The sequence below is a fragment of the Homo sapiens genome, chromosome 11, assembly GCF_000001405.40.
Source record: "Homo sapiens chromosome 11, GRCh38.p14 Primary Assembly".
Taxonomy (NCBI): domain Eukaryota; kingdom Metazoa; phylum Chordata; class Mammalia; order Primates; family Hominidae; genus Homo; species Homo sapiens.
The window spans coordinates 31,946,469-31,968,679 of record NC_000011.10 but is presented as its reverse complement, the minus strand read 5'-3'; the positions used below and the strand labels follow the sequence as shown (position 1 = coordinate 31,968,679).

The 22,211-nt window shown below is 42.6% G+C and overlaps 2 annotated features.

The window, feature by feature from the left end:
• Positions 204 to 1,053: an enhancer, noted in NCBI's record as "VISTA enhancer hs855". NCBI's record gives its function as "enhancer in: forebrain[6/9]" and the evidence as "EXISTENCE:transgenic organism evidence [ECO:0001131][PMID:17130149]".
• Positions 18,547 to 18,596: an enhancer, noted in NCBI's record as "active region_4560". NCBI's record gives its function as "activates an Ori minimal core promoter by ATAC-STARR-seq in GM12878 lymphoblastoid cells {active_cell/tissue: GM12878}" and the evidence as "EXISTENCE:reporter gene assay evidence [ECO:0000049][PMID:35858748]".

Sequence of the window (22,211 nt, the reverse complement as noted above, 5' to 3'; positions counted from 1 at the left end):
GACCCAATAGGCAGAAGCTTTTGAAAGAATTTTTCATTTGCATCAACAGCGTACTTGCAAAATATGTAAAACACATTCAGATTCCGCCAGAAAGAGTCACTAATTATGATATGTATTTGCATATGTTTAATCACATATATATCTTATTTCATTTTGCCATTTCTGCAGGGCCCCTCGCTTCAGGGAGGGGGTCCTTGGCGCTGGTTCAGCCTGCACTCAGCAAAGTTCTCTCAAGTGAGCATTCTGCTCCCACGCTGTTAGTTTTTTGCGTTATCTTTTCCAATGAAATTTGAAATTTACAATTTTTAAATGACGTGTGTGAAATTATATGACTCTATTATGTCATAATATTATACATCCCAAAATATTGGTAAAGGGTTCTCCCCCTTCATCACCACCCTCCCCACCAGAGATCAGAGCATTACTGAGAAAATAATGATTAACCTTTAAAATCAGATTGGCATTTCTTTTTTCTCCAAATCTAGAATTAATACACATTTTTTAATCATTAGTGTAATGTTCAGGATGATACTTTTGTTCTTTTGCCTGTTGAACTGTTACGGCTGCTAGTAACCCTTCAAATTGTTTGCTTCATTCAAGCATTCTTTCCTGAATAATTCATTAGGCATTATTATCCAAGCGTGGAACCCCTCATTTAGCACTGCTGATCTTTTCCTTATGTGTAGCTGACAGGCAATCAAAGTTTTTATCAGTGCAGAAAATTTGCAATTCAGAAATGTAGTTGCAGCAATTAGTAGCTATCAGGTAGCATTGGAAGGACAGCTTCATAAAAAGACAGAGTTGAATGAGCTCCACTGATGTTAGCACAAAAGTAATGGGTAAAACTAACCAGCTGTTTCTAAATTTACCAAATGGAACATTCCCTTCTTCTCAGAGTGGAGGCTTTAATTAACTTGGAGTTCTGTGTGGCTTCCCAGAGGGGGAAGGGAGTGGGTGAGGACCCTTCCTTCACACCGGGCTGGTGCCGCTCTCCTTCCACTGGGCACCGATGGGAGGGAGCTCTGAGCTTCCCTCTAAGCCAGTCCTCATGGCAGAGAGGGCAGGTGAGGGACACTTTTGCCAGAGGACTCCAGACGGGGAATGCCTAGGAGATGCCAGGGGCTCCTCCTCTTGGCATCTCAGATGGGAGAGTTATGGATGCTGCAATTTTGTCCTGTTCTGAAACTTCCTCCCTTCACTCAAGTGCTCACCTGGGGACCCAGACTGAGGCTGAGGCCACAGGGCCGCCCTGGGGCTTATTCATTCCTTCACAGGCTGATGGATTCATTTCTTTGTGCATCCTTTCATTTCTGAGTTCATTTTGATTCATTCATTCATTAGTCCATTAGATAATTTATCCATCCCTATGTTCATCCAAACATTTACTGAAACCCTCAGTGGGATCAGAACTTGTGCCCACCCGTACAGCTCCTTGTTCGAGAAAAGACTCCCCTTTCCCTGGGAGTCTATGCAGGACTCTTAGGGCCTGAGCCCCGGAACTTGCTCTCATCTCAGGAAGAGGTCTAAGGAGGCCTTTTACACTGGAGACGAAGTGCAACTCTTCTGGGTGGGGTGGTTGCTTGGTGACTTATAAGAAGCAACAGAGGAATGTTCGGCAATAGCCCATGGGAGAGGCTTTGAAGCCACAGCATGGGAGTGGCCTCTTCTCCATGTCCACTTGAGGCTGCTACAGCAGGAGTTCATCCCGGAGATAGCCTGGGATGCTAAGAAAGGGGAGCCTGCTCTCCGTCTCCTGCGGACCCCAGGACCCCAGAGCCAGCGAGTGAGAGAACCCAGGCCCCAGAGGAAAATCCACCTAGGCCAGCAGGGACGACCAGGCAGCCCATGGCTGCCCAGACTCAGACCCCCAGGCCTTGTCTCAGTTTCAGCTATGTCAAAAGGTTGGATTAGAGAACAGAACAGCACAGTGTTTCACAGCCCAGACTCTGGAGTTAAACAGACCTGGGATCAAGTGCCATCCTTGTCACTTATAAGCTGCATTGTGGCCTTTTGGAGCCTTAATTTTCTCATTTATATAATGGGGTATTACTCTCTCCCTCATGGAGTTGCTATAAGAATTAAATGAAACAAGGAGTGTAACATGCTTGGTATAGATGAACATGTAGGTGTTCAATAAATGGGAGGAGCATTATCGCTAGGCTGTGAGTCTCATGAGGGTGAGGACCCTAGAGGTTGAGAGTGTAGCCGTGAGCTAGGGTGCTGGGTTCCAATCCTGGCTCCTCTCCTTATTCACTCTGTAAACTTAGACAAGGAACTTGACTTCTCTGTCTCAGTGTCCTCATCTACAACATGGTAATACTAATAGTACCTACCTTATAGAGTCATAAAAGATTAAGGGTTAAATGATTAGATATATAATATAACATTTATGTATATATTATAATTATGATTATATTATAAAATAATTATAATAATATAATTATATTATAATATATTATATAATATTATAATTATAATATATTGATATAATCATAGTATAATAATTATAATATCTTTTATATTATATTTATATTATGTATAAATTCTTAAGGCAGTGTCTGGCATAGTAAATGCTATGTAAATGTTCACTTTTAAAAATTATTTCATCTTCAAGGGCTGAACAGTGCCTAACTAGTGGCAGGCAGTTGGTTGAATATTGGTTGAACCAATGAATGAAAGTTCTTAGATATCATACCTCCCAACCCCTTCATTTTATAGATAAGAACTGTAAAGTCCACTGTGACTTGACCAAAGTTAGAGGCAGAAAAGTACCAGATTCCAAATCTCTGGACCAGCACCCTCCCCCAACTCCCCCTGGAGGGTACCTGGTCCTTGAGCCTTGGATGATGTTGCCAAGAGAGCATCCAGTCCTCTTTGCCCACAGCCCCAGCTCTGGCCAGATCTATCCTCTCTTTTCTACAGGACAGGCTACATGCAGGAGCTGGGAGAGCACCGAGCCAGGACTGTGGCCTTTCTGGACCTGCTTTGACCTTGGGCAGGTCAGCACCCTTCCCTGAGAACCAAGGCTGCAAGGCAGATAAGTTCTGCTCTTCTTCTAGTGCGACACCCAGCAAGTGTGGGTCTGGGTTCCCCATGGTCTTCAGACAGTTCTATTGTTGGGAAAAACAGAAGCAGCTCTCCCCTGGCGATCACCAAAAGCCATGATGACCATACAAGTGCTAGACCATCTTGTGTTAAGTCCTCATCTAACCCAGACTTAATTTTGGTCTTATGAGAATAATACATCTGGTTTTGTTTGTTTGTTTGTTTTTTGAGATGGAGTCTCACTCTGTCACCCAGACTGGAATGTAGTGGCGCGATCTCGGCTCACTGCAACCTCTGCTTCCTGGGTTCAAGTGATTCTCCTGTCTCAGCCTCCTGAGTAGCTGGGATTACAGGCGCCCACCACCACGCCCGGGTAATTTTTGTATTTTTAGTAGAGATGGGGTTTCACCATGTTGGCCAGGCTGGTCTCGAACTCCTGGCCTCAAGTGATCCTCCCACCTCGGCCTCCCAAAGTGCTGAGATTACAGGCGCATCTGTGTATTTTAAAGTAGGTTTGTACTCTCACATGTATAATCCTGTTCCATTTCTAACAGAGAGAAAGCAAGTTACTTGCTCAAGGGCACACAGTAAGTTTAGTCAAGAATCCATCTTCCAACTCCCAGTCTGATACATTTTCTACCATGCCACACACCTCCTCAAAGGGGAATGAACCCTTTGAAAGTTAGGAAACCAAGGCCAAGAAAAAGAGACTTCCAGGATATCATGCAACTATTTAAAAAGATAAAATAGATTCACATATTGACATGGAAAGATGTCCATTGTTGAGTGAAAAAAGAGGGTTATAGAATGTATGTAATATAATTGCATTTTTAAATATGCATGTTTTTAAAAAGTCTGGGAGAATATTTAACAAACTACTAACAGTGATTATTTCTGGGAACATGAGATAATGGGAAACTTTTGCTTTGACCTTGATTCATTCCTCTGTATTGCTTGATTTGTTTTACAAGGAGTATGCACTGCTTTTGGAATCAACAAATACAATGAAGATATATTTCTAGAGAGAACCACTAGACCAACAGGGCCTGAGAAAATGAGATCCCCTTTCAGAGTGGCTTGGTAGGCTTTAATGCATCATTATATTTAGTTCAGTCCTATGATGGGGCCACAGGGACATCAGACTAAGGCTCAAGAGAAGGAAGAGGTACTGGGTGGGGGGCCCGGGCTTCTCGCTATGGTTGTGGATGTGCATGTGGAAGGACATAGCGATAGAGCTGGGGCCCAGACAGAGCAGCTTTTACCAACAAAGTAGGAAGTGCCTGGCCCAGGCCCACAATCACAACAGGGCCCCAGGGCATGGCTTGGCATATCCCTCCCTGCCAATTTCTTCCCTTTGGGCTGAAAGGGGTAATGGACAAGGCCATTGTTCAGGGAAGAGAAGACAGACTTGACTCAGAAACAGGAGTAAAGTGATGAGGACCATGAAGTGACAGAGCCTGGGGGTCTTAAGGCCATCTTAGTGTGTTGGTGCAACCCTCTTGGAGGACAATTTGCTACTTTTTGGCATTCAAATTTGTCACACCACAGGTTGTACAATTTTAGCCTCCCAGAAAATGACCATTTTGCTCAAAAAAAAAAAAAGTCTATGTGGAAAGAAAAAAATTATACCCTTTGGCCCAGCGATTTGACTTCTAACAATTTGTCCTACGATAAATACTCAGAACACATTTACCTATGTAAAAAACGCTGCAAGTCCTGCACTTGTACCCCTGAACTTAAAGTAAAAGTTAAAGAAAAAATAAAATAAAATAAATACTCAGAAAAATGCACAAAGATATATATGTCCAAGGAGGTTGATTAAAACCAAGTAACAGCTGATGCACACCACACCTTCTGCTTCAGGAGCTTTACATACATTGATTCATTTAACCCTCGCAGTAACCTTAAGAGGTAGTTGTTATAATCATCCCCATTTTAGAGATGAGAAAACTGAAGCATAGAGAGGGTTAATCACTTGCCCAACATTCGAGGGCTGCTAGGTAGCAGAGTTGGAATTTGAACCAAAACAGTTGGGCTTCATGCTCTGTACTCATCATTGCTGCTACATGGTCTCTCATTGCTGTTTTTTTTTTTTTAAAGTTCTGAAAATCAACTAAGTGTCCACTAATAGGAAGTTGAGAAGTTGTTTAAATTATAGTCCATTGATACATTGGAATATTCTGTGGTTGTGAAAAGGAATGAGGTCAATCTATAGGGATTAATATAAAAAGACGTCCAAGATAGATTATTAAGTGAAAATTTAAAAGTATGGAATGGCATGTATGCTATAGAAATAGGTAGACATCAATACAATTGTGGCTATCTCTGAGAAGTAAGAGGAAGTAAGGAGCAAGTAGGTGAATTTTGTTTCTTTGCCTTTCTGCACCTATTCAACATTTTTACTATGAGCTAGTATTACTTTTGTGATTAAAAAAGTAAAATTAGGACTATCTCACACCCATTGGGATGGCTACTGTCAAAAAAAACAAACAAGTGTTGGTAAGGACATAGAAAAGTTAGAAACCTCGTACACTGTTGGTGGAAATGTGAAATAGTACAGCCACTATGGAAAACAGTATGGCGGTTTCTTGAAACATTAAAAATATGATTACCGTATGATCCAGCAATTGCACTACTGGGTACATACCGAAAAGAATTGAAAGCAGGGTCTTGAAAAGATATTTGTATACCTACACTCATAGCAGCAGCATTCACAATGGCGGAAAAGTGGAATCCACCCAAGTTGTTCGTGGACAGATGAATGCATAAACAAAATGTGGCATATACATACAGTGGAATATTATTCAGTGTTAAAAAGGAAGGGAATTCTGACACAGACTAACTATATGAATGAACCTTGAGGACATTACACTAAGTGAAATAAGCCAATCACTGAAAGACAAATCCTGCGTGATTCCACTTATTTGAGGTACTTAGTCAAATTCATAGACACAGAAAGCAGAGTGATGGTTGCCAGGGTCTGAGGACAGTGGAAAATGGGGAGTTGTTGTCCATGGGCACAGAATTCCCTTCTAGCAAGATGGAAATGTCCTGGAGATGGGTTGCACAGCAATATGAATGTACTTAACACTGCTGAACTGTACACCTAACAATGCGTAAGATGACAAATTTATGTTATGTGTATTTTACCATTTAAAAAAAAACCCTAAAGATTTGTTTGTTTTCGTTTTTAGGGAGGAAAATGGCATTTTTCTAACTGCTATTCCCTAAAGGCTTAATTGTACCCCCTGGGGCCTTCATCATTTTCTCTCACCCACTCAATAAACATTATAGAAAGATCCAGAAACTAAGAGTGTAAGTTTCAGCTATAAAAACAACCATCCCCATTTGTACAGCACTTTACACTTTACTGCACTCTTCTAGTTTGGTTCTCCTTGCCATCCTGTGAGAAGAGCAGGCTGGGTTTTCTGTCATTCTGATTCTATGGATGAAAACTGAGGAGTGAATTGTCCCATGTCAGAGGAGGGGTTCAGATCCCAGTCCTTTGGCTCCAAGCTCTCTAAACCCTGGGAAGAATGGAGAAGGAAAAGTATGGAGAAGGGAAAGGCTCTGAGAGTCCTGTGGCCCTGCACACTGTCGGCTGGAGGCCTGCCTCCTGGAAGGTCGTAATGGCTGCTGCCCTTGATTGCACAAAACAGCAACATCCCCTCCTTCCCAGAAAGCCTTTGGGTCTTGACTGACTTACTAACTTTTATATTTGACAAGTACGTCAACAATTTTAAAAGCCAACTATCATCTGCTGCCAACATTTTAATACCAAAAGAATAGTCCTTTAAATGGAGTAAGTTTATTTTCAGTTAAAAATTGCCATATTATCTTATCTTTTCACATTTCATGTAGCCTAGAGAAAAGTATGGCCCCCACCGTATTTGAGGCCCTCTTATCAATATTGATTGTGGAGTTATTCACTGTATTTGTTACTGATGATTAAAGCAACAATATGTGTGAATGAATTTTAAGTAATTTTGGCAGATTCAAAGTTATCCCATGTGGTTGCCAAAATATGCCCCTCCCATACCCACTGCCGCCCCCAGCTGCCAACCCCAAAGATGTCCACAATCCTAATTCCTACAACCTATGAATCTGTTGTATCATATGGCAAGTAGAAACTGCAAATGGAATTAAGGTTGCTAATCACCTGATCTTAAAATAGGGCAATTATCCTGGATTATTGGGGTGAACTCAGTGTAATCACAAGGCATCTTAAGTGGAGAAGAGTCAGAGAGATGGCATAGGAGTAAAGACTCATCTGACCATTGCTGGCTTTGAAGACAGAATGTGGCCACAAGCCAAGGAAGGAGGTAGCCTTTAAAATCTGGAAAAGGCAAGCAAACAATTCTCCCCTAGAGCCTGCAGAAAAAGCATAGCCCGGCCGACACCTTGATTTTAGCCCACTGGCATCCATTTAGGACTTCTGAGCTTCAGAACTGTAAGATAATACAATCGTATTGGCTTAAGCCAACAAGTTGGTGGTAATTTGTTACAGCAGCCACCTGAAGCAAATGCAGATTTCACGCAGCCTGGAGAAAAGTATGGCACCCATTTGCGTTTGAGGACTTGTGATCTACAACAGTTATGAAGTCATTCACAAATAATTTGTTACTGATAATGATTAAATCTATGTGTGAATGAGTTTTAGCAATTTTTGAGCAGATTCAAGAGTATCCCTATCACAGTGTTATTTTCCAAATTGCTTCCCTGAGTGAAAAAGACGGGGTTATAGCTGGGGCTGAAAATCATACAGAAATCATGAACGCATTTTTTTCTTTTGGATTGAGCATTTATTTTGTGCTCAAGACTGTCCTCAGTGCTTTATCTACATAATCACAGTTACCCACCCACCCCCCAAAACCTGGAAGGTAGGTACTATTCATATCACTCATTTACTTGCCCAAGATAATGCAAAGCTAGTGATCGAGCTAGGATTCGAACCTGTCATCAATGAGGAGAGTGGGTTGGGCAACCTCATGCCACTGGATAGGTGTGTTGTCATAGGTAGAGAAGGTTGAGAACCCTAACCTAGCACAGGAAGCCACACCGCTGCATATATCAGGGCCGCCTGCCCTAGCCGGGCCATACAACACGTCTGCCACTCCACTATCATCAAGCTGTGGCACTCTTTTCCCAATTTACAAAAACAAAACTTTTTAAATAATAATAATTTCAATGGAAAAGCATTTCTCAAGTTAGCTTCTTCTCTGACACATTTCTCTTAAACTTTTGTTACTTGGTTACCATTGTTTGAGTGTCTACGTGCCAAGCACTAGAGGGAGTAAAACATATTATTTGTCATTAAGTCCTCACCCCAGTATTTTCCGTCCCTTTGACAGATGAGGAAATGGAGTTTCAGAGACGTGAAGTAACTACTGCAGAGTTAAATAGCCAATAAATAGCAGGAGACTCCAGGGCTCCACAGTCAGATGTAGCCCTAAATTATCTATTTAATCCTTTAAACTTAAAACGTTAATGCTTCATGGTTTTCTGCAAAAATCCCAGTGACTTCCAAGTGCTGGACCTGAAGATTCCCGGTCTGGCATTTGCTCTTTCGATCATGTGCTGTCCTCATATGCAGTTTATTTATTAGGCCTGAGACATTGCGACTTAGCTCCAAGTTCCCTTGAGGCTATTTTCTTGAGACTTTGGAGGTTTCAAGCAAATCAGGGATTGGCTAACAAAACATTCTAAAACAGGTGAGTCATGGTTAAGTCTTACCCATAAGAGGAAGCCAAGTGTAAAGTCTGAGGGGATTCAAAGGACTCTCCCTTTCTCTCCTTCCTCACCCTGAAACCTGGCTGTGCTCCCTAGACACGTTCATAGTGGCAAAGTCATGGCTGTTTCAGCATATTAATAGGACGACTCTGGGAGCGATAAAGGCCATAGAATGGAGCCACTGAGAGAAGCTTTTGTGTCTCCAAGACTCCAACCCCTTTGATGAAACAGATGTTTGGGCCAGGCCCTCCTTTACAAGGAGAGTTAAACCTCAGTAAACAGCAGGAAAACCTCCTTGGTGGCAATGAACAGCCCACACGCTGGTCTTCCCTAGCAGCAGATGGGCTGGGGAAGGGGTGGCCTCCTGTCATCAAGCCCTGTGCCACCCGCTCAGAGACTGCAGAGCTGGTGTCTGTGACACGTGGTCGGTCACCTTGGAGGCTTTGATTTACGGTTGACTTTGGGAAAGACCAGCCTCTGACCTTGGCAGCCTGTTGCCTCACCATCTTTTCTCTAGGTTGGGAGAACTTTCCATCAAGATGGATGCACATCCCAAGTCTGGCCCCATGAAGGAGCTTCCCAGAGACCTTCTGGCTCAAATGTAGCAGGAAGGCTTGAAATGAAACCCTTTCCTCATCTGCCAGTGTCCCTGGAGCAATCTACAGACAAATGTAGGAAAATCCAGGACTAATATTGCCTCATGAGTTGAAGCTCAACATTTGAGAGTGCTGTATGTATCATCCACAGGCCCATGAAGCCTTCCTGGGTTTACTCTGAAGCATCAACTGCCCCAACTGCACAGCCAGGCTGCTCGAAAACAAAAACAAAAAAAATACATGGGAGTTACCCAAGGATGATTTTTCTCAAAATCTGCCAAGTAGTTCATTCAGTTTAGGGTGTGCGTTTGGGTAGGGTCAATTATTTCAGCAAAACTGTGGATTTAGCATTATCTTCCTTGAACCAGAAACATCTGCATAGGATGTATAAGCCAACAGGCAGTTAGAAATGGCCGAACAGGTGGGTGTAAAGAAGAAAAAAAAAATGTGTGAGCTATATTTAATTGAATACCAAAAATAGCTAATACATACTGAGCACTTACCATGGGCCACAAACTGTGCTAAGCACGTCATATGTATCCCACTCAATTCTTGCAGTGATCCTCTGAGGTTGATACTCTTATTATCCTTATTCTGTAGGAGATGAAACAGACACAGAGAGGTTAAGTAAGTTGGCCAAGGTTGCACAGCTATTAAGTGCCAAGCTGAGATTTGAACCCAGGCAACCAGGCTCCAAAGTCCATATGCTAACTACTATGATCGTCTTTAAAATCTGCCTAAAAGTAGATGGACGAGAGAGTTGCCCCTTTAAGACAAGTTAATCCTCGGTGTTCAAATTGGCTGTCTATGTGCATGTGTGTATGCGCAAGACACACGACTGCACACACTGTGAACTGAAACGTTTGGAGCTCCCAGAACCCCCCTGTTCCCATCTTATGAGTGCAGAGACACAGCTCTTCCCTCCCCAGGCATTTTGGCAGGCCAGAGGCCCGCTTAAGCCAGAGGCCTTGGCCGGCCAGGCTACCGGGAGGTGGCGCTGTGTCACTTTCCTACTCCGGAGCTTTTGTTTTCTGCGGGCTGCACGCTGGAGGTGGGGAGGCCAATTTGAGCAGAGCCTGTCGCCAATTTCCCTGATTTGAAATCTCACTCTCTTCTGTCACTTCCTTCAAATGAGCTGGGAGATGTTCAACAGATGACAGTCCTGAAAACGAGCCAAAACTGTTCTCTTAATCCCATCTCAAGATTTATTTGAAAAGGGTGTTTCCAAACAAGGAGCAGATTTCATGTGTCAGAATTACACTCACGCTGACCTCTTGGTTTTCAAAAGGAGAGAGGAAAAACACACCCAAACTCTCAACCACCTTGTAAAAACTCAGGTGATCATCGGGCCATGGGCTCAGGCCCTGTCCACAAGGAGGTACACAAATGCCCATTCCCCGGGAAATCCCAGGGTTAGCTGGAGGATCTACCTCTCTCCTGTGCACCACATCTCTCCAGGCCTCTGTGGACTTGCCGGTCCAAGGTGGCCCACCTCCTGCCGCCCTTCAAGAGGCTTCTCTCTAAGGAGCCGAATGCTCAAGGGTTCATGGCACTGCTGACATTTTGACATTTGCACATCAAATGAGCTGTACACTGACTTATCAAAGGAAGAATCACCCAACACGGTGATGCTTAGGCCTGCAAGGGAACCTCAAAGAACTTCGTCTGTCTCCCAGTTTTCTAGATGAGAAAATTGAAGCCCAGAGACAGGAAGTAAATCTCAACCTGGTAAATGGAAGAGCTGCAAGTGGCTCTCAGAATGCCCTGGCCGGGACAGCTGCCACCGCCTTAGGATAGAGTTTTAACCCTGAGGCACAGGAGGAGGAATGGAGCTTTGGAGTCAGACAGGCCTGGTTTGAATCCCAGTGCTTTAAGTATATTTGCATGACCCTGGGAAAATCACTAAATATTTCTGAGCCTCAGTTTCATCTGGAAAATGGGACAATATACAATCTGATCATGGGATTGTGATGAAGAGTAAATAAAATAACATACACGTAGGTTTCCAACATATGTTGCTTCATCCTTGTTTATTTTTTTGTTTTTTTGTTTTGCTTTGTTTTGTTTTGGTGTTATTTTAACCCCAATCGGAGAAGCTGGTTTCAGATTGGGGCTGACCCAATGGTAGGCACGCAGGCACCTTAAGAATCTAACTGTGCTTTGTAACTATCCTGTCCTCAGACCATCAAGCTACCTTGATCTTGGCTTGCAAATGTGGAGGACTGTCTTTTCTGTCTTTTGGGATCTGGAAACAAAGTTAGCCTTAGGCACAAGGTTTTAGGAGATTTGGGAAGGCTTACCATTCCTAAACCTTTCTCTTATCTTTCTAACGCCCATCCCTTGGCAAACATGTGTGTCCTCAATGCATTGAGTAAATGCTGTAATCTGGGCACATATCTTTCTTTTTTCAACAATCAAATACCCCCATGAGTGTGATGGTGATACCAACACCTTAGCATGAATTTTTTCAATTAGATTGCTTTCTTGCTAATGTCTGCATTAAGGAGATAGAAATTTTTATGAGGATGAGAGAATGGCTAAAAAATAAGGGATGTAATTTTTAAGCTGAGCTAAGGGGGTACCCCAAGAAGAAGCTTGAGCAGCAAGATGTAGCAGGCGAACAGTGTGGATAGAGAAAGAACACTGCAGGGAAATTCAGGGATCCAGAAATAATGGCAGGAGGGCTTCAGAGTTAACCTCATCAACCTGGAAAGTTTAGTGCAGCTGGTGTCTATGTGGGTGAGGTGACTCAGGACTACTGAAATGCCTCAGTCCACCCCTGTCCCCACATACATAGCATGTGTAAGGGCCTGTAGAAACGCCCTGAGCTTGGGCCTGACTCACAGACCTTCCTACGAAGCCATGAATTTAAACTCTTCCTGACTCAGATAAGGCATGTTTCTGATGGCTGACTTGGAGGAAGACTTTCATTCAAGCCTCAGTTATTTCACTCTATGCCAGGATAGGGAGGTGACTGAGACCCTCAAGAGAATCCCAGGCCATGAGATTATCCCAGATCTCAAGAGGATCCCAAGCCAATAGGTTCCGGTTTCCATGAGAGTACAGTGACATGTGTAGGTGACCTCTCCTCCATAAGAGAGGAGTACATGTCACGGTACTCTCATGGAAACATCTTCCCATAGCCTGAGAGGCCCTGCCTGACCCAGGCTCACCACCCAGCCCTTTCTGCAGCTCTGACCCAGCCAGGCTGGGATCTTCCTGCCTGACCTTGGGAACTGCTGCACCAGCCACTGCCTCTGCCAGGTACGCTCCTCCCCATGGTCTTCACAGGGTGCGCTCCTTCTCATCATCCAGGTCTCAGCTCAAAGGTCACCTCCTCAGAGAAGTCTGCCCTGCCCCACAAACCCAACGCCGCCCCACCCACCCTTCACTCCCTATCTATAGTGTCACTGGTCACTAACTATAAGCTTCGTGAGGGCGGGAGCTGTTTTGTCTCCACAGCTACATTCCAGCACACGATGAGAAGACACTCAGGAGGCTGGCAATAAAGACTGCTTTCTGAATGGATGGATTCCTCTCTCCCTTCGCTCTCCCTTATCTGTTCTCTCTCCTACTTTAGTGGGGTTGCTGTTGTTGCTGTTGTTGCTTTTGGCTAAATCATGCTCAGATTTCCAAGTGTAAAATAAGGTTGTTTTCCCTCAAGGCAGATATGCTTTCCAGCCACTATATCTTTTTCTTTCCTTCACATCTAAACTCCTTTCACAGATCACCCTCACTGCTCCAGCTCCACCATGCCTCCTGCTCACACTTCAGCAGCTCATAATGGGGCTTCTTCCTTCACCCCTAGGCTGATAAGATTCTCATGAGCAGGGTGTCTCCAGTAGCCACACAAGTTATACACTACACAACTCCAGGGGTCACCATCCCACAGACGAGGGTGTAGACGACTCCCCCTGGGGGTGTGCAGTGTGCACAGCCATGCCTGGCCACCGTGCTCGGGATCTATCTTAATCACCAACCATCTCCCTTCCTCAGGCTTGAGCCTCCTTGATCTCCTGGCAACACAACACTGTTGATCCTCTCCTCTCTGACCTGATGAAGTGCTACATTCTCCTGGTTTCCGCTCTACTCCTCTAAGGTCTCCCTCCAGCCTCCTTTCCAAATTCTTGCTACTCCCTCTTGCTAACTGGGTGTTCTCTCAGACTCTCGCCTCAGATCCACACAGCCTGCCTCAGAAATCTCTACCACAACTCCCATGGTGTCAACTCCCATGGTGTCAACAAATGACCTGCCTCTTCCCTTGTATTAGTCCATTCTCACACTGCTATAAAGAATACTACCTGAGACTGGGTAATTGTAAAGGAAAGAATTTTAATTGACCCACCGTTCCGCATGGCTGGGGAGGCCTCAGAAAATTTGCAATCATGGCAGAAGCAGGCACCTTCTTCACAAGGTGGCAGGAGAAAGAAGCATGAAGAAGGAACTTCCAAACACTTATAAAGCCATCGATCTTGTGAGAACACACTCACTATCATGAGAACAGCTTGGGGGAAACCACCGCCATGGTCCAATCACTTTCCTTCCTCAACACACGGAGATCACAGGTCCCTCCCTTGACACTTGGGGATTACAATTGGAAATGAGATTTGGGTTGGGACACAGTGCCAAATCATATCACCCCTCCTCACACACTGGCTGGACATCTCCACTTGACATGAGGGAGACTTCAAAAGCCAACTCTACCTGATGCCCAACCTTCCCAGGGTCTTGCTCTGTCTGGACCAGTATGGGGGCCATAATAGTAGGAATGTAGCAAGATGTGGCACTGGGGATGACGCTGGCATCCTGTATCTGGTAGAATCCTTCCACAGCACCCCTTTCCCCATAACTATCACCCAGGCCCACCTCATGCATAAATAGTTCCTCACGCTAAATGCTGGACTGGTGAAAGGGAGAGGAAAAACCCCCAGCTGAAACCGTCTCTGCTCTGAGAGACGGCCTGATTCCAGGGACTTCTTGGGTCACTGACACTCTTCACTGAGGAGGGAATCTGTCCATAGAGACATTGGAGGGAGCCAGCTCTGACAGGTACAGAATAAAGAGTTGGCAGGGACAGTGAGCATTTCAGAGAGAAGGAGGGAACCCCTGACAGCCGCCTGACCTGGGAGTCGGAGCCTTCTATTTACACTTGACGTCCATTGAGGATGCATGAGGAGAATGAGCACAAGACAAGAAAAGGGAAGGAAAAAGAGGGGGCAGATGCTTGCCCAGGCACCCACCTGTCAAGCTGTGGAGAAATAATGCTAGAGTCGGGAGCTGGGTCTGGGCCTTGCTGCCTCTGTCCTGGCTGAGGGCTGCCCAAGTCTAACAGACACATGTGATCCTTAAGCTGTGGCTCACTGGCCTCACATGGGAGTGGGCAAATTGCTCCCCAGAGACCATCTCAGTTGCTTCCGAAGCACTTCCCATTTTCGTGCCCCTCATAATTAATAGTGGTCAAACCCCAAGGCTACTGTACCTTTTCTGTATTTTTGTTTTTGAGTCTGTGGAAGACAGAAAGGAAGCCAGGGCTACCCTTGTTTCCTTTATGTTTAAGGACCTGTCTGGTTTTTACTGGACCCTTTCCAGAGATGGTACTACTTCCCAGGACAGCAGGTGTTTTCGATCAGAGTCCTTTCTGGACTCTGGAAATTCATCTCTTGCTGTACTGGGGTAATGTCCCACATGCCTGGGACATTCAGCCCTGAGAGAGCTGCACTGTCTACAGCAGCTGGACACACAGCTCAGTGACCAGCTCAAACCCAGAAATTCCAGTGAGAGGGAGCAGGTCTTACTGCAGTAGAGCCATGCTTCATTTGGTTAAGAGGCACAGCCAGGTACTTAAGCACAGCGCTACTCAAAGTTGGGCCTATGCACTGTGCCATAGATGGTTTGCTACTGCACCATAACATGGCAAATAGTTACAAAATATGAAGGTGAGCAACTAGAGACCTTTTTTAAATATAGCAGACACACATTTAATATTTTCATAAATTGCTAAACAGTTTTCTATGGTACCATTGGAATAATTTTACACCCCCACTAGTGATGTATGAAAGTTTCTATTTTTCTACATCCTAATTAACATTTAGGTATTTTTTCAGTCATTTAAAAAAATTGTCCACAAGTTATTGGGGTACAGGTGGTATTTGGTTACTTGAGTAAGTTCTTCAGTGGTGATTTGTGAGATTTTGGTGCACCCATCACCCAAGCAGTATACATACACTGAACCATATTTGTAGTCTTTTATCCCTTGCCCCTCTCTCACTCTTCCCCACAAGTCCTCAAAGTCCATTGTATCATTCTTATTCTTTTGCGTCCTCATATCTTAGCTCCCACATATCAGTGAGAACATACGATATTTGGTTTTCCATTCCTGAGTTACTTCACTTAAAATAATAGTCTCCAATCTCATCCAGGTCACTGCAAATGCTGTTAATTCATTCCTTTTTATGGCTAAGCAGTATTCCATTGTATGTGTGTGTGTGTGTGTATATATATATATATACACACACACACACACATATATATGTATATATATACATATATACGTATATATATATGTGTGTATATATATATATGTGTGTGTATATATATATATATGTGTGTGTGTATATATATATATATATACACACCACAGTTTCTTTATCTACTTGTTGATTGATGGGCATTTGGGTTGGTTCCACAATTTTGCAATTATGAATTGTGCTGCTATAGACATGCATGTGCAAGTATCTTTTTCGAATAATGAATTCTTTTCCTCTGGGTAGATACCCAGTAGTGGGATTGCTGGATCAAATGGTAGTTCTACTTTTAGTTCTCTAAGAAAGCTCCACACTGTTTTTTGCAGCGGCTGTACTAGTTTGTGTTCCCACCAGGAGTGTAGAAGTGTTCTCTGATCACCACATCCATGCCAACCTCCACTGTCTTTTGTATTTTTTTATTATGGCCATTTCAGGAGTAAGGTGGTATTGCTTTGTGGTTTTGATTTGCATTTCCCTGATCATTAGTGATGTTGAGCATTTTTTCATATGTTTGTTGGCCATTTGTATGTCTTCTTTTGAGAATTGTCTAGTAATGTCCTTGGCCCACTTTTTGATGAGATTGTTGTGTTTTTTTTTTTTTCTTACTGATTTGTTTGAGTTTGTTGTAGATTCTGGATATTAGTCCTTTGTCAGATGTATAGATTGTGAAGATTTTCTCCTACTCTGTGGGTTGTCTGTTTACTCTGCTGACTGTTCCTTTTGCCATGCAAAAGCTCTTTAGTTTAGTTGGGTCCCAGTTGTTTATCTTTGTTTTTATTGTATTTGCTTTTGGGTTCTTGGTCGTGAAATCTTTGCCTAAGCCAATATCTAGAAGGGTTTTTCTAATGTTATCTTCTAGAATTTTTATAGTTTTGGGTCTTAGGTTTAAGTCCTTAATCCATCCTGAGTTGATTTTTTAGAAGGTGAGAAGTGAGAATCCAGTTTCATTCTCCTACATGTGGCTAGCCAATTGTCCCAGCATCATTTGTTGAAAAGGGTGACCTTTCCCCACTTTATGTTTTTGTTTGCTTTGTCGAAGATCAGTTGGCTGTAAGTATTTGTGTTTATTTCTGGGTTCTTTATTCTGTTTCATTGGTCTATGTGCCTATTTTTATACCAGTACCACACTGTTTTGGTGACCATGGCCTTATAGTACAGTTTGAAATCAGGTAGTGTGATGCCTCCAGATTTGTTCTTTTTGCTTAGTCTTGCTTTGGCTATGCAGCCCCTTTTTTGGTTCCATATGAATTTTAGAATTGTTTTTTCCAATTCTGTGAAGAATGGTCATGGTATTTTGATAGGGATTGCATTGAATTTGTAATTGCTTTTGACAGTATGGTCATTTTCACAATATTGATTCTATCCATCCATGAGCATGGAACATGTTTCCATTTGTTTGTGTTGTCTATTATTTCTTTCAGTGGTGTTTTGTAGTTTTCCTTGTAGAGGTCTTTCAATTCCTTGGTTAGGTATATTCCTAAGTATTTTATTATTATTTTTTGCAGCTATTGTAAAATGGGTTGAGTTCTTGATTTGATTCTCCACTTGGTCGCTGTTGGTGTATAGAAGAGCTACTTATCTGTGTACATTAATCTTGTATCTGGAAATTTTGCTGAATTATTTTATCAGTCCTAGGAGCCTTCTGGAGAAGTCTTTAGGGTTTTTAAGGTAAATGGTCATATCATCAGCAAACAGTGGCAGTTTGACTTCCTCTTTACTGATTTGGATGCCCTTTATTTCTTTCTCTTGTCTGATTGCTCTGGCTAGGACTTCCAGTACTATGTTGAAGAGGAGTGGTGAGAGTGGGCATGCTTGTCTTGTTCCAGTTCTCAACGGGAATGCTTTCAACTTCTCAGAGGGAATGCTTTCAACTTTTCCCCATTCAGTGTTACGTTGGCTGTGGGTTAGTCATAGATGGCTTTTATTACATTAAGGAATGTCCCTTGTATGCCTATTTTGCTGGGAATTTTAATCATAAAGTGATGCTGGATTTTGTTGAATGCTTCTTCTGCATCTATTGAGATGATCATGTGACTTTTGTTTTTAATTCTGTTTATATCGTGTATCACATTTATTGACTTGTGTATGTTAAACCATCCCTGCATCCGTGGTATGAAACCCACTTGATCATGGCAGATTATCTTTTTGATATGTTGTTGGATTCAGTTAGCTAGTATTTTGTTAAGGATTTTAGCATGTACGTTCATCAAGGATATCAGTCTGTAGTTTTCTTTTTTGGTTATATCCTTTCCTGGTTATGGTATTAGGGTGATACTGGCTTTATAGAATGAATTAGGAAGTGTTCCTTCTTTCTCTATCTTGTGGAATAGTGTCAAAAGGATTGGTATCAATACCAATTCTTCTTTGAATGATTGGTAGAATTCTGCTGTTGGTTATTTTTTAATTACCATTTCAATCTTGCTGCTTGTTATTGGTCTGTTCAAGGTACCCAATTCTTCCTGATTTCAGCTAGGAGGGTTTGATTTTCCAGGAATTTACCCATTTTTTTCTAAGTTTTCTAGTTTATGTGCATAAAGGTGTTCATAGTAGCCTTGAATGATCTTTTGTATTTTAGTGATGTCAGTTGTAATATATCCAGTTTCATTCTTAGTGAGATTATTTGGATTTTCTCTTTTTTGTTGTTAATCTTGCTAATGGTCTATTAATTTTATTTTCTCTTCAAAGAACCAGCTTTTTGTTTCACTTATCTTTTGTGGGTTTTTGTTTGTTTGTTTGTTTCAGTTTCATTTAGTTCTGCTCTGATCTTGGTTATTTCCTTTTTTCTGCTGGGTTTGGGTTTGGTGTTTTCTTGTTTCTCTAGTTCATGAGGTATGACCTTAGAATGTCAGTTTGTGCTCTTTCAGTCTTTTTGATGTAGGCATTTAGGGCTATGAACTTTCCTCTTAGCACTGTCTTTGCTGTAATCCAGAGGTTTGGGTAGTTTGTGTCATTATTGTCATTCAGTTCAAAGAACTTTTTAATTTCCATCTTGATTTTATTTTTAACCCAATGCTCATTCAGGAGCAGGTTATTTAATTTCCATGTATTTGCATGGTTTTGAAGGTTCCTTTTGGTGTTGATTTCCAGTTTCATTCCACTGTGGTCTGAGAGAGTGCTTGATGTAATTTCAATTTTCTTAGATGTATTGAGGCTCCTTTTATGGCCTATCATATGGTCTATCTTGGAGAAAGTTCCATGCACTGTTGAATAGAATGTGTATTCTGTGGTTGTTGGGTGAAATGCTCTGTATATATCTGTTAAGTCCATTTGTTCCAAGGTATAGTTTAAATCCATTGTTTCTTTGTTGACTTTCTCTCTTGATGACCTGTCTAGTACTGTCAGTGGAGTATTGAAGTCCCCCACTATTATTGTGTTGCTGTCTATCTCATTTCTTAAGTCTATTAGTAATTGTTTCATAAATTTGGAAGCTCCAGTGTTAGGTGCATATATATTTAGGATTGTGATATTTTCCTGTTGGACAAGGCCTTTTACCATTACATAATGTCTCTCTTTGTCTCTTTTAACTGCTGTTGCTTTAAAGTTTGTTTTGTCTGATATAAGAATAGCTACCCCTGCTCTCTTTTGGCCTCCATTTGCATGAAATGCCTTTTTCCACCCATTTACTATAAGTTTATGTGAGTCCTTATGTGTTAGGTGAGTCTCCTGAAGGCAGCAGGTAGTTGGCTGGTGAGTTCTTATCCATTCTGAGGTTCTGTATCTTTTAAGTGGAGCATTTAGGCCATTTACATTCAATGTTAGTGTTGAAATGTTAGATACGGTTGTATTCATTGTGCTCTTTATTGCCTGTGTACTTTGGTTTTTTTGTCTTTTGTTTTTGCTTTTTAATTTGTATTTTTGTTTCATAGGTCCTGTGTGATTTATGCTTTAAAGAGGTTCTGTTTTGATGTATTTCTAGGATTTGTTTCAAGATTTAGAGCTCTTTTCAGCAGTTCTTGTAGTGGTGGCTTGGTAATGGTGAATTCTCTCAGCATTTGTTTGTCTGAAAAAGGCTGTATCTTGGCTGATAATTGTTTTGTTTGAGGAGGCTGAAGATAGGGCCCCAATCCCTTCTAGGTTGTAGGGTTTCTGCTGAGAAATCTCCTCTTAGCCTGATAGGTTTTTCTTTATTAGCTACCTGGTGCTTCTGTCTCACAGCTCTTAAAATTCTTTCCTTCCTCTTAACTTTGGATAACCTGAAGACAATGTGCCTGGGCAAAGATCTTTTTGTGATGAATTTCCCAGGTGTTCTTTGTGCTTCTTGTATTTGGATGTTTAGGTCTCTAGCAAGGCTGGGGAAGTTTTCCTTGATTATTCCTCCAAATATGTTTTCCAAACTCTTAGAATTCTCTTCTTCCTCAGAAACACCAATTATTCTTAGGTTTGGTCATTTAACATAATCCCAGACTTCTTGGAGGCTTTGTTCACATTTTTTTATTCTTTTTTCTTTGTCTCTGTTTGATCGAGTTAATTTGAAGTCCTGTCTTTGAGCTCTGAATTTCTTTCTTCTAATTGTGCAGTTCTGTTGCTGAGACTTTCTAGAGCACTTCACATTTCTAAAAGTGTGTCTAAAGTTTCCTGAATTTTTGACTGTTTTTTCTTTAAGCTATCTTTTTCCTTGAATATTTCTCCCTTCATTTCTTGTATCATTTTTTGGATTTCCTTGCATTGGGCTTTGCCTTTCTCTGGTGCCTCCCTGATTAGCTTAATAACTAACTTCCTGAATTCATTTTCGGGTAAATCAGGGATTTCTTCTTGGTTTGGATTCAGTTCTGGTGAACTAGTGTGATTTTTAGGAGGTGTTAAGAGCCTTGTTTTGTCATATTACCAGGGTTGGTTTTCTGGTTCCTTCTCATTTAGGTAGACTCTGTCAGACGGAAGGTCTGGGGCTGAAAGCTGTTGCTTAGATTATTTTGTCCTATGGGGTGTTCCCTTGATGTAGTACTCTCCCTCTTTTCCTATGGATGTGGCTTCCTGTGGGCCAAACTGCAGTGGTTGTTGTCTCTCTTCTGGGTCTAGCCACCTAGGAAGTCTAACCTGGTACTGGGGGTTGTCTGCACAGAGTCCTGCGATGTGAACCTTCTATGGGACCCTCAGCCATGGATACCAGTGCCTGTTCCAGTAGAGGTGGTGGTGGGGACAGGGTGCAATGGTCTCCTTGAGGGTTCTTAGCTTTGGTGGTTTAATGCTCTATTTTTGTGCTGGTTGGCCTCCTGCCAGGAGGTGGCACTTTCCAGAAAGCATCAGCTGTAGTAGTATGGAGAGGGACCAGCAGTGGGTGAGGACTCCCAGGATTATATGCCCTTTGCCTTCGGCTACCAGGGTGGGTAGGGAAGGAGCATCAGGTGGGGGCAGGGCTAGGTGTGTCTGAGCTCAGGTTGTCTTGGGCGGGTCTTGCTGCAGCTGCTGTGGAGAATGGGGGTGAGACTCTCGGGTCACCAGAGTTGTGTACCTAGGAGGATTATGGCTTCCTCTGCTGAGTCATGCAGGTTATCAGGGAAGTGGAGGAAAGCCAGTAGTCACAGGCCTCACCCGGCTCCCGTGCAAACCGAAGGGCCGGTCTCACTCCCAACTAGAGACTTTTATAGCAATTGGACATTGCTGGGTCATCCAAGTGCATAGCCATGAACTCATCTCATTGAAAGATTTAGACCAGGTTGAATGTCCACACTTGCACAATAAGTGCACAAGACAAGAGCTGTTATTAGTAATGGGCAATAGGATGTATTGATTTCCAAATCATGCATTGAATAGAAATTTTAAAATCTGATCCATCACCACAGACAGTTGGAGAAGCACTACTTTAATTTATGAAAATGTCTGAGGAGTAGTGCCATAAATAACCTGTTTATCTTTGTTAAATTCAGTGTTTCCCAAACTTATTTAACCATGAGGTATTTTGGGGTGGGAAGGATTGCTACCAGCATACCAAGGAAGTGCTGTATCTCAAAATACGCTTTGGAGAAGACACTCTAAATGGTGAGAATGAGTAAGTGGGTAATCCCTTGGTCCAGAATCTCTAAACATTTTCCAAGCCACAGGTCCCACTTGGCTAGATCAGTCAGGGCCTTAGGTAACTACTTCATTTGGATTAACTGGAATAATGTAACGACTGCTCCTGATCACTTGGTGCCTTGGAAGACCTTTTTTCCTGCTCCCAGGGGCCCAACTTTTACCCAGGGTGGGGTTGCAGGCACGACCAGCCCATTATCTCAAGCCTCCAGTTTTAATTAAATTACAAAATGGTGCACCAGAAGCACAACAGGACAATAAGCCCAGGTAAATTAGTGACTGAGGAAGAGATACTAACTCCTTCATG